This window comes from Homo sapiens, chromosome 11, assembly GCF_000001405.40.
Source record: "Homo sapiens chromosome 11, GRCh38.p14 Primary Assembly".
NCBI classification, from domain to species: Eukaryota; Metazoa; Chordata; class Mammalia; order Primates; family Hominidae; genus Homo; species Homo sapiens.
Window position 1 is genome coordinate 118,361,237 of NC_000011.10, and position 13,150 is coordinate 118,374,386.

The 13,150-nt window shown below is 40.8% G+C and overlaps 1 protein-coding gene across 2 annotated transcripts in view; it reads left to right on the forward strand.

Moving 5' to 3' along the window:
• Positions 1–13,150, forward strand: part of UBE4A (ubiquitination factor E4A) — a 39,612-nt gene that overhangs the window by 1,637 nt on the left and 24,825 nt on the right. The window contains exons 2-8 of one of the 2 annotated variants that reach the window (NM_004788.4): positions 3,804–3,965; positions 7,395–7,568; positions 8,187–8,299; positions 10,278–10,430; positions 11,271–11,451; positions 11,850–12,052; positions 12,258–12,449. In NM_004788.4, the coding sequence (NP_004779.2) occupies positions 3,845–3,965; positions 7,395–7,568; positions 8,187–8,299; positions 10,278–10,430; positions 11,271–11,451; positions 11,850–12,052; positions 12,258–12,449 (1,137 nt within the window). In that variant the 5' untranslated portion in view covers positions 3,804–3,844. The remainder of the gene's footprint in view (positions 1–3,803; positions 3,966–7,394; positions 7,569–8,186; positions 8,300–10,277; positions 10,431–11,270; positions 11,452–11,849; positions 12,053–12,257; positions 12,450–13,150) is intronic. The other variant, NM_001204077.2, reaches the window with a different exon arrangement.

Sequence of the window (13,150 nt, forward strand, 5' to 3'; positions counted from 1 at the left end):
CTCAAACTCCTGACTTCAAGTGATCTGTCTGCCTTGGCCTCCCAAAGTGCTGGGATTACAGGCATGACCTACTGCGCCCGGCGCTGAAAATAGGAGATTATAAATCCCGAATGACATTATTGAATATTAAACAAAATATTTAGGTTTCATTTTATCGGACCTTTAGAGTGGGTGATTATCTGGGTACTCTTACTTTGGTAAGTCCATTGAACAAATCTAAACTGGCATCTCCACAAAGGTTCTCATCAAGTGATCAGTCCTCCTTTTTCCTGTAAAATTTTTCTATAAGTGACTACACAGTTTTAGCCCTTTTTTAATGAAAAAAAGTTTGTGCACAGATTTGACATACGTGTGAAAAAGATGAGCTTAGTGAAAGATAGGTGAGAACCTTTTTGTTTTTTACAGATAGTAGAGATGACAACAGAGACTTATTTCCATCCACCATTCTACACATGCCAAGATACCAAAGAACCAGTGTCTAGCCTGGTAGCTTGACCTTCCACTGCAACCTAAGACAAGTAGTAAAGCCCTTACCTTGAAGTAGGGTCATGGGTGATGCTGTTGATTACAAGGAGTTCAGAAAGAACTACATGTAAGATTGAAGCCATTCAATAACTACTTATTTAGGATTTTGTGATTGTGATGTATAATGCCAGACACAGAAGAAAGAATAATCAGATATGAACATGTAATCAGAAGAGCTTACAGCCTAGCAATGTAGAAGATCTGCTTAGAAATACAATGCAGAAAGTTTAAAATCCTAGTAAAAATAGAGGTAAAATGTAGAAAGCTAGTTTCTTTATACAGTGCAACAGTATAGTATTGAGAAAGAAGGAAGTAATGCAGTTTATGGTGATAAATTCTTTTTGTTTCTCTTGATAGTCTTTTTGTTTGTTTGTTTGTTTGAGACAGTTTCCCTCTGTTGCCCAGGCTGGAGTGCAGTGGCAACGATCTTGTCTCACTGCAACCTCCGCCTCCCAGGTTCAAGCAATTCTCCTGCCTCAGCCTCCTGAGTAGCTGAGATTCCAGGTGCACGCCACCATGCCTGGCTAATTTTTTGTGTGTTTTAAGTAGAGATGGGGTTTCTCCATGTTGGTCAGGCTGGTCTTGAACTCCTGACCTCATGATCTGCCCGCCTTGGCCTCTCAAAGTGCTGGGATCATAAGCATGAACCACTGTGCCCGGCCTTCTTGATAGTCTTAAGAGCTTCTCTGTCATATGTCCTATATTCCTGGCTTTCAGCTTCCTTTCTGCTTACGTGTTGCAGGTGATGCATGTCCTTTGTAATAATCTGGACACTTTTCAGTTGTGTTTTAAAAAACATCAAACTGGTTTAGGCATTTAGGGAAATTTTATTGGTTTTTATAACTGAAAAGTCCAGACTTATCTTTCCATCTCTCAATTCTGTTTTCTAGTGTATGTTGGCTTGGTTTTAGGCTAGGCCTTTTCTAAATGGTGTAAAGATGGCAACTCTATCTTACTGGCTTATCAACTCAATCAGGAGAAAACTCACTTTTCCGTAGATTCAGCTGAAGTCCTGAAGCTGGTATTCATTGACTCTGTTAGGCCTCCATAGTGTCTTGTGCCCACTCCTGGATCAGTTGCTTTGGCTGGAAAATGCTGTATTCTTTTTAGCCTGGCCAGACTTGTATGTTCATTCCTGGGGCTAGTGGGTGAGGTCAACCCCTTCTGAACTGGTCAGCCTCTTCTGGATTGAGTGGAGTGGATACCCAAAGGAAAAAAATGAATGTGATGTTTTAGAGAGAGAAATAACAAGAGCTCAATATACTTTTTGCATTCCTCTGGAATTTGTGGTATTTTAGGATGGAAGTAGAATGGTGGTCAGCTAACAATAAGACAATTCTTGGTGTTTTTACATTAACTACAGGTAATAATTAAACTTGTGCGGTAATTACATGGGGAAAATCCCTCTCATTAATTTCAATACTAAATATGGTATCTTTCCCTTTTTTTGCATTATTAAGCTTACTGAAATATACATAGCAAAAAATAAAATACAGAAGGCCAGGCGCAGTGACTCATGCCTATAATTCCAGCACTTTGGGAGGCCGCGGTGGGAGGATCACTTGAGGTCAGGAGTTCGAGACCAGCCTGGCCAACATGGTGATACCCCGTCTCTACTAAAAATCCAAATAACAGTTCAATTCCTTGAAGCAGTAAAGCTTTGAGCTGCACTGAGAGGAGACTAGACTGCCTAAGTCATTACAGCTAATTAGCCGTTAGCTCTTGTGTGGAAAAAATGGCAGAGGAGCATGAAGCAAGTGCTGAAGATGCCTCAGAATTGTCAAGAAATGTTATAAATAATCTCTTTCTCTGGTAAATAAGGGTAACTTTTTCGACCACATTAGCTTTTTTTTTTTTTTTTTTTTTTTGAGACGAAGTCTCGCTCTGTCACCCAGGTTGAAGTGCAGTGGCACAATCTCAGCTCTCTGCAACCTCTGCCTCCCGAGTCCAAGCAATTCTCCTGCCTCAGCCTCCTGCCTCCCAAGTAGCTGGGATTACAGGCACCTGCCGCCATGCCTGGCTAATTTTCGTGTTTTAGTAGAGATGGGGTTTCACCATGTTGGCCAGGCTGGTCTTGAACTCCTGACCTCAGGTGATCCACCTGCCTCAGCCTCCCAGGGTGCTGGGATTGCAGGCATGAGCCACTGCACCTGGCCCACATTAGCTTTTGTTGATATGATCCTGTGAGGAGTCTTGCCTCAATAAACCAAAGGTAGACCAAATGTTCTTTTTTTCTTCCTTTATACCCCTACTCCCGCTATTTCTAAGGTCTCTGTCCTTATAGCAGTTCAAGATCCTTATGAACAAAACATTCATACCCTTTGTCTCTTCCCACCCTTTTCAGTGTTGTATTTAATATTTCTATGTCATGGCCTTAAAATTTCAGAAAGGGGAGAAAGCCTTTCAGGGAGCCCTGTTTATTCTGTTGTGCCACTGAGTTCACTTGGTCTTGAATGAGGAAATGTAATCAGAAGAGTGTGAATGCAGGCTCAGCCAGCTCTACTAAACACCTTTGAGGTATCTATATTTCATATTACACAGTAGACCTGACCGTTGGAATTCGTGTTTCTTCAGTATTATTTTAAGAAATCAGGTAAACAGTGAAGGTTAGATATAGCATGAAGCAAAGACCATTTAATTTTTAGTGGAAGAAATATCAGTATTTTTAAGCCTAGAAATAAATAGATTGCTTAATCTATGTTAAAAACCCACAACATACAGCTGAACTGCTTCCAGTCCTGATTTGCCAGAGTCCAAATCTAAGATATGGGCTTTTACTTAATTTATATGTAGCTGAGAAATATCCATCCCCAGCCCTAAGTCATAGAAGTCCCTTGTCCTCACCCCAGTGAATGAGAACTAGACTGCCAGCTTAATTCTTGGGAAATCCATAATTCTTGTCTTATTATTTTTCAGTGCCACATTGTTATTACAATTAGTAGGTGAGTTCTCTCTTTGACTTCAATAATTCTTTCTACTTAACCTGTTTTCTTAAAGGTATTGCAAATAAAAGTATATCAACAGATTAATGCATTCCAGCTGAACGTTTTAGCCTTTTTAGTTTCAGCTATCCACAAATCAAGCCACCGAGTCCAGCTGGTAGGTTTGTAACCATTTTGCCAAAAATGTCTTGAGTTTGGGGACAGGAATTGGAAAATCTTAACCCAAAGTATTTTAAAATGTATTGTATTTGAGAAATGGGAAAAGAAACAACCACAGGTATATTACAGCTATTGTGTCATCTGCCCTCTTGTGTCTAATACCTGTCCTTTGAACAGCCTCTCCCACTAGGTCTGGATGGAGGATACCTTAAAGTGAAATGACAGACCAGGAGAATAACAACAACATCTCAAGTAACCCCTTTGCTGCTCTTTTTGGCTCCCTGGCTGATGCCAAACAGTTTGCGGCAATCCAAAAAGAGCAGCTGAAGCAACAATCTGGTAAGTGGAGGAGCCAATAGCAGCAAATAAGATGACCTAGAATGGGGTCTTCCCAAATTAAGTATTCTTTGAGTCCTTAATTGCAATTGGAATTTAAGTTTGGAACAAAAGTTGGTTTTTGTTTGTTTGTTGAGAGCAGAAATTGGGGTTTTTTGTTTGTTTGCTTTTATTGTTGGTTTTGTTGTGAGTCCCTCCCCTCCGCTGTCCTCTCCACTGTACAAAAAGAGACCAGGTAACAGGTGGTTCCATAGTAACAGATGCCAGTCGTGATCCCAAAGCTGTCAGGCTGTTTTCTTTAAAAGAAAAAAAAAATCACCTAGTAAAAGCTATTTAAATAAATGTTTTTAACATGGGACACAGAGGTGGTAAGTGTAGGTGTAGAAAGCAAGTCATGTGCAGCTATAGAAAGCAGATGTAAAAGGAAGAACTATAAAAGCTTTTTGACCTGTAGGCAAATGAGACTTGTTCTTAAGCTCAGCACTTCAAAGGCCCTCCCAAGCAAAGTGCTTCTTCTGTTCCGATGAGTGGCATCATTTGTAGCTTAGTCCTGTTAGGACAGACTTTTTTAAAAAATCTGATCCTTAGCCTTACTATGAAAAACATCAGAATAACATCTCAGTAATCAGAAAAAATGGTTTTCTTTCAGGCACCGAATTTAAGATCAAGTCCAGCTTCCTCCTATAAGGAGACATATACACTAGAAGAATTAGGATTTTTCTCAAATATGTTAGTCTTCTGAAGATATTCACAATCTTTCAAACCAGAAATTGCTCCCCTTCTCCTCTCTCCGAAAAGAATAATAGTGTTTTTCTTTTGAGAGAAGGAGAAGTGTTTGCATTTTCCCTTTATTTTGTTTATTTAAAAAAAAAAAAAACACTCAGGTGCATAGCTGACTTTTGGCCTTTCAGTTAGAAAGGGCTGAAGAAAAAAGAGGTAAAGGCAAGACAGATAAGTGATTGATGCAAGGGAAAAACAAAATCAATGTTGATTTTTTTTAACATGGTATTTTCAGTCTCTGAAATCTCTCCCAGATTTCTATGATACGGGGCCAGAATGGGAAACTCTGGTTTAGAAGATTGTAGGGGAAAAAGCAGAGTGAAAAATAGGAAAAATAAGGAATGAGAAAGTATGATTTATGAGTATGTGGTTGAGGGAAATTTTGCTAAACAGATTCTTAGCTTCTGTCACCATTGGAGGTCAGAGAAAAACTCAACAGTATAGCAGCTGAGCAACAGAACGCTTGTCCTTCTGGCTATAAACAGACATAAATCTGGCTAGAGTTGGGAGCATTGCAGGCACATGCCCTTCTGTTACTATTTTGGCACCTCATCATCCTAGTTTGTTTACACTGAGTTTATCATGCCACCAGGTCCAACCTGTTTCCACTAGCAATTAGTACTTTGCCAAAACCTTTGGCTTCCTATGTTGAGCTTATACTCACCACACTGAAACAACTCTTACTTTGAGAGTTTTACCTGGACTTTCAGACTAGCCATTCTGTCAATAGAGAAAAGTACATATAGACTCATATGTGGCATATAGTGAATAACACTACTTTTATGTAGTCATTCAACATGAATGATGGGGCTGGGCGCAGTGGCTCGCGCCTGTAATCCCAGCTCCTTGGGAGGCCTAGGTGGGCAGATCACCGGAGGTCAGGAGTTCGAGACCAGCCTGGCCAACATGACAAAACCCCGTCTCTACTAAAAACACAAAAATTAGTCGGGCATGATGACAGGCGCCTATAATCCCAGCACTCTGGGAGGCCAAGGTGGGCGGATCACCTGAGGTCAGGAGTTTGAGACCAGCCTGGCCAACATGGTGAAACCCCATCTCTACTAAAAATACAAAAATTAGCCGGGCGTGGTGGTGGGCGCCTGTAGTCCCAGCTACTTGGCTGAGGCAGGAGAATCACTTGAACCTGGGAGGTAGAGGTTGCGGTGAGCCGAGATCACACCACTGCACTCCAGCCTGGGCGACAGAGTGAGAGTCCATCTCAAAAAAAAAAATCAAAGGATGGGAGCAGATTTTGAGGACAGAAGTTTAAAAAAAAAAAAATCGAAGGAATTTCATCAATAAGAAAAAAATAACAAGAAAGAATAAAAAGGTACAAAAGATGTGACATGCAACTTATAACCAAATGATTAAAAAATTTATTCTCATCAATCATTAGAGAAGTGCCAATTAAAACAACCATTAAATTGTTTTTTTACCTATGAAATTTGTGAAGATTCAAACAGGCACTCTCTCATATACTGTTGGGTTTGCATGTAAATCAGACAGTCTCTTTGAGGGTAACTTGGTAGTAAATGTTAACTTTTTTTTTTTTTTTTTTTTGAGACGAAGTCTTGCTCTGTCACCGAGGCTGGAGTGCAGTGCAACCTCTGCCTCCCGGGTTTAAGCAATTCTCCTGCCTCAGCCTCCCGAGTAGCTGGGACTACAGGTGTGTGCCACCACGCCTGGCTAATTTTTTGTATTAGTAGGGATGGGGTTTCACCATGTTAGCCAGGATGGTCTCAATCTCCTGACCTCGTGATCCGCCTGCCTCAGCCTCCCAAAGTGCTGGGATTACAGGTGTGAGCCACCGTGCCAGGCAGTAAATGTTAACTTTTTAAATGTTCAAGCTCTTTGATCCAGCAGTTCTGCTACTGTGAATTTATCCTATAGAAATACTCATACAAGTAAACAAAAAGAGTTAAGTTGTATTGTATTCAGTGCAGTATTTAAAATCATGAAATATTAGAAACAACCCTATTGTTCATCAGTTGAAAAGTAGCTACATAAACCACAGGGCATGCAAAAGATGTGATACAATACAGCTATTAAAAATAGTGAGGTAGGCCTCTAAATGGCCTAACAGGGAAAGGTGTTGGTGCTGATTAAAAGGCAAGCTGAAAAGAGCTATGTATAGTATCCCATTTTTTAAAAAAATTAAAAAGATAGTAATGAATATTAGCACCAGAAAAGAAAAAAATTCTTGAACACTGTTAAGTGTCTTTAGGGAATTGGTTCAGGAGACTTTCTATACTATATTTTTCTGTACAGTTAAGAACTATTAAAACAAATGTTATCTCTTAAAATCAGGGAGAAAAGCCATACATTTAAAATAATTAAAGGCATTTTGATCTATTAGGTAATTCTTTGTTCACTAGGATTCTGTAGAGAAGATAACTTTGCTATTTCTGGCAGTGTGGAGTATAATTATGGATAGAAATAAAACTTTTGCTTTGTAAAATGTGGTAGGATTTATAGCCAGGAATTTCAAAACCCTATATTTAACTTCCCTGACTTGAGATGTTCACTAATTAGATGATTAGCTTGTTTTACATCTGAAATTATCATCTTCTTGGTTACATTTATTATTTTTGGTAGCATGCTTGGTTCTCTCTTAAAGGGGTGTAACATTTAACAGTATACATTTTCTGGCAGATGAACTCCCAGCTAGCCCAGATGACTCGGATAATAGCGTGTCAGAGAGCCTGGATGAATTCGATTACTCTGTGGCTGAGATTAGCCGCTCATTCCGATCACAGCAGGAAATATGTGAGCAACTCAACATCAATCACATGATCCAAAGGATCTTCCTTATTACTCTGGACAACAGTGAGTTACAAACTTATAGCATTATTCTACCCTTCCTATTTGAGCTTGGGCTAGGGGCTTGCTCTTTGAAACTGGTTACAGCTAATGGTTAGATACAAACCTACTCACTGCACTCCCTGGAACTCAGGGTTTATATTTCAGTGAACCTTTTGGTATGACCTAAAAACAGTATTTAGATGCAGATCTAACTTTTGTTCCCATTTCAATACTGACTGCACTATATAGCTACTTGCCTTTACTACCTTAAAAAGGAAATGGGAAGGGTAGCCAAACCCATTTTCTTCTCAGAGGTAACCTAAATATTCAGATGGAAGCCTTCAGAGGCATCAGAGAGTGTTTGCCCTCTGTGCCCTGTCTGTGTTTAAACCCCAAGGTTGGTACTAATGTCTGGGATTTACTCTTTAAATGTCATGATGCTAGGTTTATAACAAATCCCATTCTCTGTGACTAGAGGGGGAAAAAAAAAGATTTGAATCTTTAGATGTTGCTTTGTGTATCAGGATCATTCTGGTATTACTTGAGTCAGATTTGCAGTTCAAGAGTGATGCTGTCAAGATCAGTTGTCTGTATAAAACAGAAGCATTATCCTTAACCTATCATATTAAAACCATTTCCCAGGTGATCCCAGCTTGAAAAGCGGGAATGGCATCCCTAGCCGTTGTGTGTATTTGGAAGAAATGGCAGTAGAGCTAGAAGATCAAGACTGGCTTGATATGAGCAATGTTGAGCAGGTAATATTCTTACGTTCCTAATGTGTGCCCTTAGCAAAAATTAGCTATGCGGCTGAATTCTGCTCACTGTTCTCCAACTTATGCTTGTGTCCATATGTCCATCCCTCTCTCTTTTTTTTTTTTTTTTTTTACCAGTAGAAGGCCAAGTAACCTGGATGTGCATCTCTAACATTGTGGTGTTCCTCTTTTGGAATCTTTTCATCTACCATGGCCACATGCCCAAATCTACCCATCCTCTAAGAACCAGTTAAAATGCCTTCTTAATTACAAAGCCTTGGCCAGGCACATTGACTCACGCCTGTAATCCCAGCACTTTGGGAGGCTGAGGCAGGTGGATCACGAGGTCAGGAGATCAAGACCATCTGGCTAACATGGTGAAACGCCGTCTCTACTAAAAATACAAAAAATTAGCTGGGCATGGTGGTGGGCGCCTGTAGTCCCAACTACTTGGGAGGCTGAGGCAGGAGAATGGTTTAAACCCAGGAGGCGGAGGTTGCAATGAGCCGAGATCATACCACTGCACTCCAGCCTGGACAACAGAGCAAGACTCCGTCTCAAAAAAAAAAAAGAAAAAATTACAAAGCCTTGCCAAATAAAAGTTGTTACTCCCTCCTCTGGGTACCTAGAATAATCAGCCTCTGAATCTCTTGTGGGAATTGTCACTTTCTGTCTCATGTTGCGGCTTTCTTATGTACCTGTCTTATCTCCCCTATTAGACTTAAGTTCTTAAGGGCAAGGCCCATCGCTTTTTCTTCTTTATATCCTTTCTATCTTAGTCTGTTTTGTGTTGCTATAAAAGAATACCTGTGACTAGGCACAGTGGCTCACATCTGTAATCCCAGCACTTTGGGAGGCCAAGTTGGGAGGATCTCCAGGCCAGGAGTTACCAGCCCTGGCAACATAACAAGACCATGTTTCTACAAAAAATACAAAGAATTAACTGGGTGTGATGGCATGTACCTGAAGTCCTAGCTACTCAGGAGGCTGAGGTGGGAGGATTGCTTGAGCCTGGGAGGCAGAGGCTGCAGTGAGCCATAGTCACACGACTGCACTCCAGCCTGGGCGACAGAGCAAGAAAGACCCATCTAAAAAAAAAAAAAAGAACACCCAAGCAGTAATTTATAAAGAAAAGTTTATTTAGCTCACAGTTCTGCAGGCTGAGAAGATTCAGGGTATGTCCTTGGCCTCTGGTGAGGGCTTTTGTGCTGCCTCACAATGTGGTGGAGGAAGTCACCAAAGGACACATACCATGAGGACGCATGCAAGGAGGAGAAAACCTGAGAGGTGTCCTGGCTTAATAAGAACCCGCTCTGGAGGGAATTTGTCCATTCCTATGAGAATTAATCCAGTCTTGTGAGAGCAAGAACTCATTCAGCACCTTGAGAAAAGCACCAAGCAATTCAGGAGGGATCCGCCTCCATACCCAGACACCTCCCACTAGCCCCACCTCCAACAGTGCCACATGGAGATCAAATTTCAACATGAATTTTGTTGGAGACAAACATATAAACCACAGCACTTTAAAAATCAAAACAGTGCGTTGTACCTTGCAGGTGCCTGAGTAACATTAAAAGAATAAAAGTTTGGTAGGAAAGACAGTTGACAGCTTGCAGTTTAACTTCACATTTGGAGTATCTTTATATAAGTCTGAATGAGATCAGCAATCACACAGAATAGTAGATTTCACATCTAAGTTTAATCACTGATCTCAGCACCATTCAACAAATAGTCTTTTAATGCCTACTCTATGCTGGGGCTATACTAGACACTTGAGGCTTGATTTAGGATAACTTTATATATGCCATAATTTTCTAAAATTTTCTAAAGTAAAAATATACAGGGCCCTTTTTTTCTCCTTCACTCTACATTCAAATCTGTGATTCTTGCTAATAACCTGTGTCAGAATTACCTTTTACATCTTAATGTTCTCAGATTAATTTTGCAATAGTTTAGTATTTTTGTTTGGTTTTCTTTATAGGCCCTCTTCGCTCGCTTATTACTTCAAGATCCAGGCAACCACTTAATTAACATGACTTCTTCTACAACGCTAAATCTCTCTGCTGATCGAGATGCAGGAGAGAGGCACATTTTTTGTTACCTTTACTCCTGCTTCCAGAGAGCCAAGGAAGAGGTAAAGGAATAATCCCCATTGAATACTGTATTGTCCTCTTGGGTATGACTTCAGCATGTGGGCCAGAGTTGGATCAGTCTTTATTTCAATTTATATATGTCATAGTATGTCTAGAAGTGAATATCAGGGACACTAAAGCTTTTATATCAATTTATATATGTCATAGTATGTTTAGAACACTGGATATCAGATGCACTAAAGCTTTAGTCTCCTTTCCGTATCTTGGGGTCCACCCTTCTCCCCAGTTAACCAATGCCTCCTATTCTCTCTAAAACCTCTTTAGAAATCACATCCTTAAAAAAATCTCATGAGGCTGGGCACAGTGGCTCACTCCTGTAATCCCAGCACTTTGGGAGGCCGATGCAGGCGGATCACATGAGGCCAGGAGTTCGAGACCAGCCTGGCCAACATGGCAAAACCTTTACTGAAAATACAAAAATTAGCCGGGCATGGTGGCACACATTTATAATCCCAGCTACTCAGGAGGCTGAGGCAGGAGAATCACTTGAACCTGGGAGGTGGAGGTTGCAGTGAGCTGAGATCACACCACTGCACTCCAGCCTGGGTGACAGAGCGAGACTCTGTCTCAAAAATCAGAAAAGGGCTCATGAATTCATTTCCACTGAGATGTAAATATTAGAGTAGGCTAAGCCGGATATTTCCAGGTTTGGAATTTTAAATAGGCAGATAGATGATTCCTTAAGCCAAGGAAGGAATCTCTAATTAATTTTCAAGCATCCACAGGAGACCAGTATGTCTCTTCTATTGTATTCACTATGTCTACTTTCGTTCCAGATTACAGAGTTAGACTATTCCCTCTTTTCTTCATGCTGTTTGCAGATTACCAAAGTTCCAGAGAACCTGCTACCCTTTGCAGTGCAGTGCAGAAACCTCACTGTGTCCAATACCCGAACAGTTCTTCTCACCCCAGAGATCTATGTTGACCAAAACATCCATGAGCAACTGGTAGATTTGATGTTAGAAGCCATCCAGGGAGCCCGTGAGTACATGAACAAGATCTGTAAGCTTCTACATTTTGATTTTCAGATTTAAAATTTCACTAATTGCATTAGAAAGTCTCAGAGCCATTATGGTTCTGGTATAAATTAAGGAGGAGGGCTCACATCTTGATCTTTGAGGTTGAGTACCAATAGAATAAAGCTGGGCATGGTAGCACACCCCTGTAGTCCCATCTACTCTGGAGGCTGAGGCAGAAGGATCCCTTGAGCCCAGGAGTTTGAGGCTGTAGTGTGCTATAATCACACCTGTGAATAGCCACTACACTCCAGGCTGAGCAAAAAAACAAGACCCCCAGCTCTAAAAAAAAAAAAAAAAGAATTATTGAAAGTAAAGAGCTAGTGTGTAAAGGCATATAAAAATTCTTGTGCCCTCCTTTCTCTCTCATTTGTCTTCTGTTAGATTTTGAAGATGTAACTGAGTTTCTGGAAGAGGTCATTGAAGCCTTGATATTGGATGAGGAAGTTAGAACATTTCCAGAAGTCATGATTCCAGTGTTTGATATTTTATTGGGCCGAATAAAAGATCTAGAGCTCTGTCAGATCCTTTTGTATGCATATCTGGATATTCTTCTCTATTTCACTAGGCAAAAAGATATGGCAAAGGTAGGTCTGAAAGATGATATGTATTCAGTTGAGCTAGATGTGTAATACATGATGCTTCCCTATCCTGAAGACACTATAATACTACCTATAAAATAAGAAAAAGATAGCTTGGTTGTTGTATCAACTTAACTGTTTTGAGGCCCTCCCACCCCATCACCTTATCTCACCATGAAGATGAATAAGCAGAACTTGTCTTCTCTTACAGGTTTTTGTAGAATACATTCAGCCCAAGGACCCTACCAATGGGCAAATGTACCAGAAGACCTTGCTGGGAGTAATTCTGAGTATCTCCTGCTTATTAAAGACTCCGGGTGTTGTAGAAAATCATGGCTACTTTTTGAATCCATCTCGTTCCAGCCCCCAGGAGATCAAAGTACAGGAGGCCAACATCCATCAGGTGGAACTGTTTACCAGGGTATCCCAGCCCCCTGATCTTAAAAGAGTTTTCTCAGAAAGCAGATACAGATAAGGCTGCTCAAGCCTCTCTGGGAAAGCAAATTGATCTAGTTGGCTTTTACATCACATAAATAAATTAAAACTGGGCATGGTAGCTCAAGCCTGTAATCCCGGCACTTTGGGAGGCCAAGGTGGGAGGATCGCTTGAGCCCAGGAGTTCAATTTGAAACCAGCCTAGGCAACACAGTGAGACCCCCATGTCTACAAAAAAATACAAAACTTAGGTGGGCATGGTGGCAAGCATCTGTAGTCCCACCTACTCGGGAGGCTGAGGTGGGAGGATCACTTGAGCCTGGGAGGTCAAGACTTCAGTAAGCCATGATTGCATCATCACGCTCCGGCCTGGATGACAGAAGAAGACTCTGTCTCAAAAAAAAAAAATCCCCTCTTTGTAGCATATGCTAAGAACAGCACGTGTGGGGTAAGAATGAGCTGCTGCTACTCATTACCCTTTGCTGTAGCACTGCTACAGCTACTTCTCCCCAACCCTCATTTTTCTCACTGAGCTATAACTTTAGCTCTGAAAATCTTTTGACTGAACTCTAGCTTATAAACCCAGTTTTTCTTCCTTTTCGTGTCTCCACCTATGCCCTCTCTTTGGGCTTCTTCACATAAATTATAGTAGAGGTCTGGCCAACATGA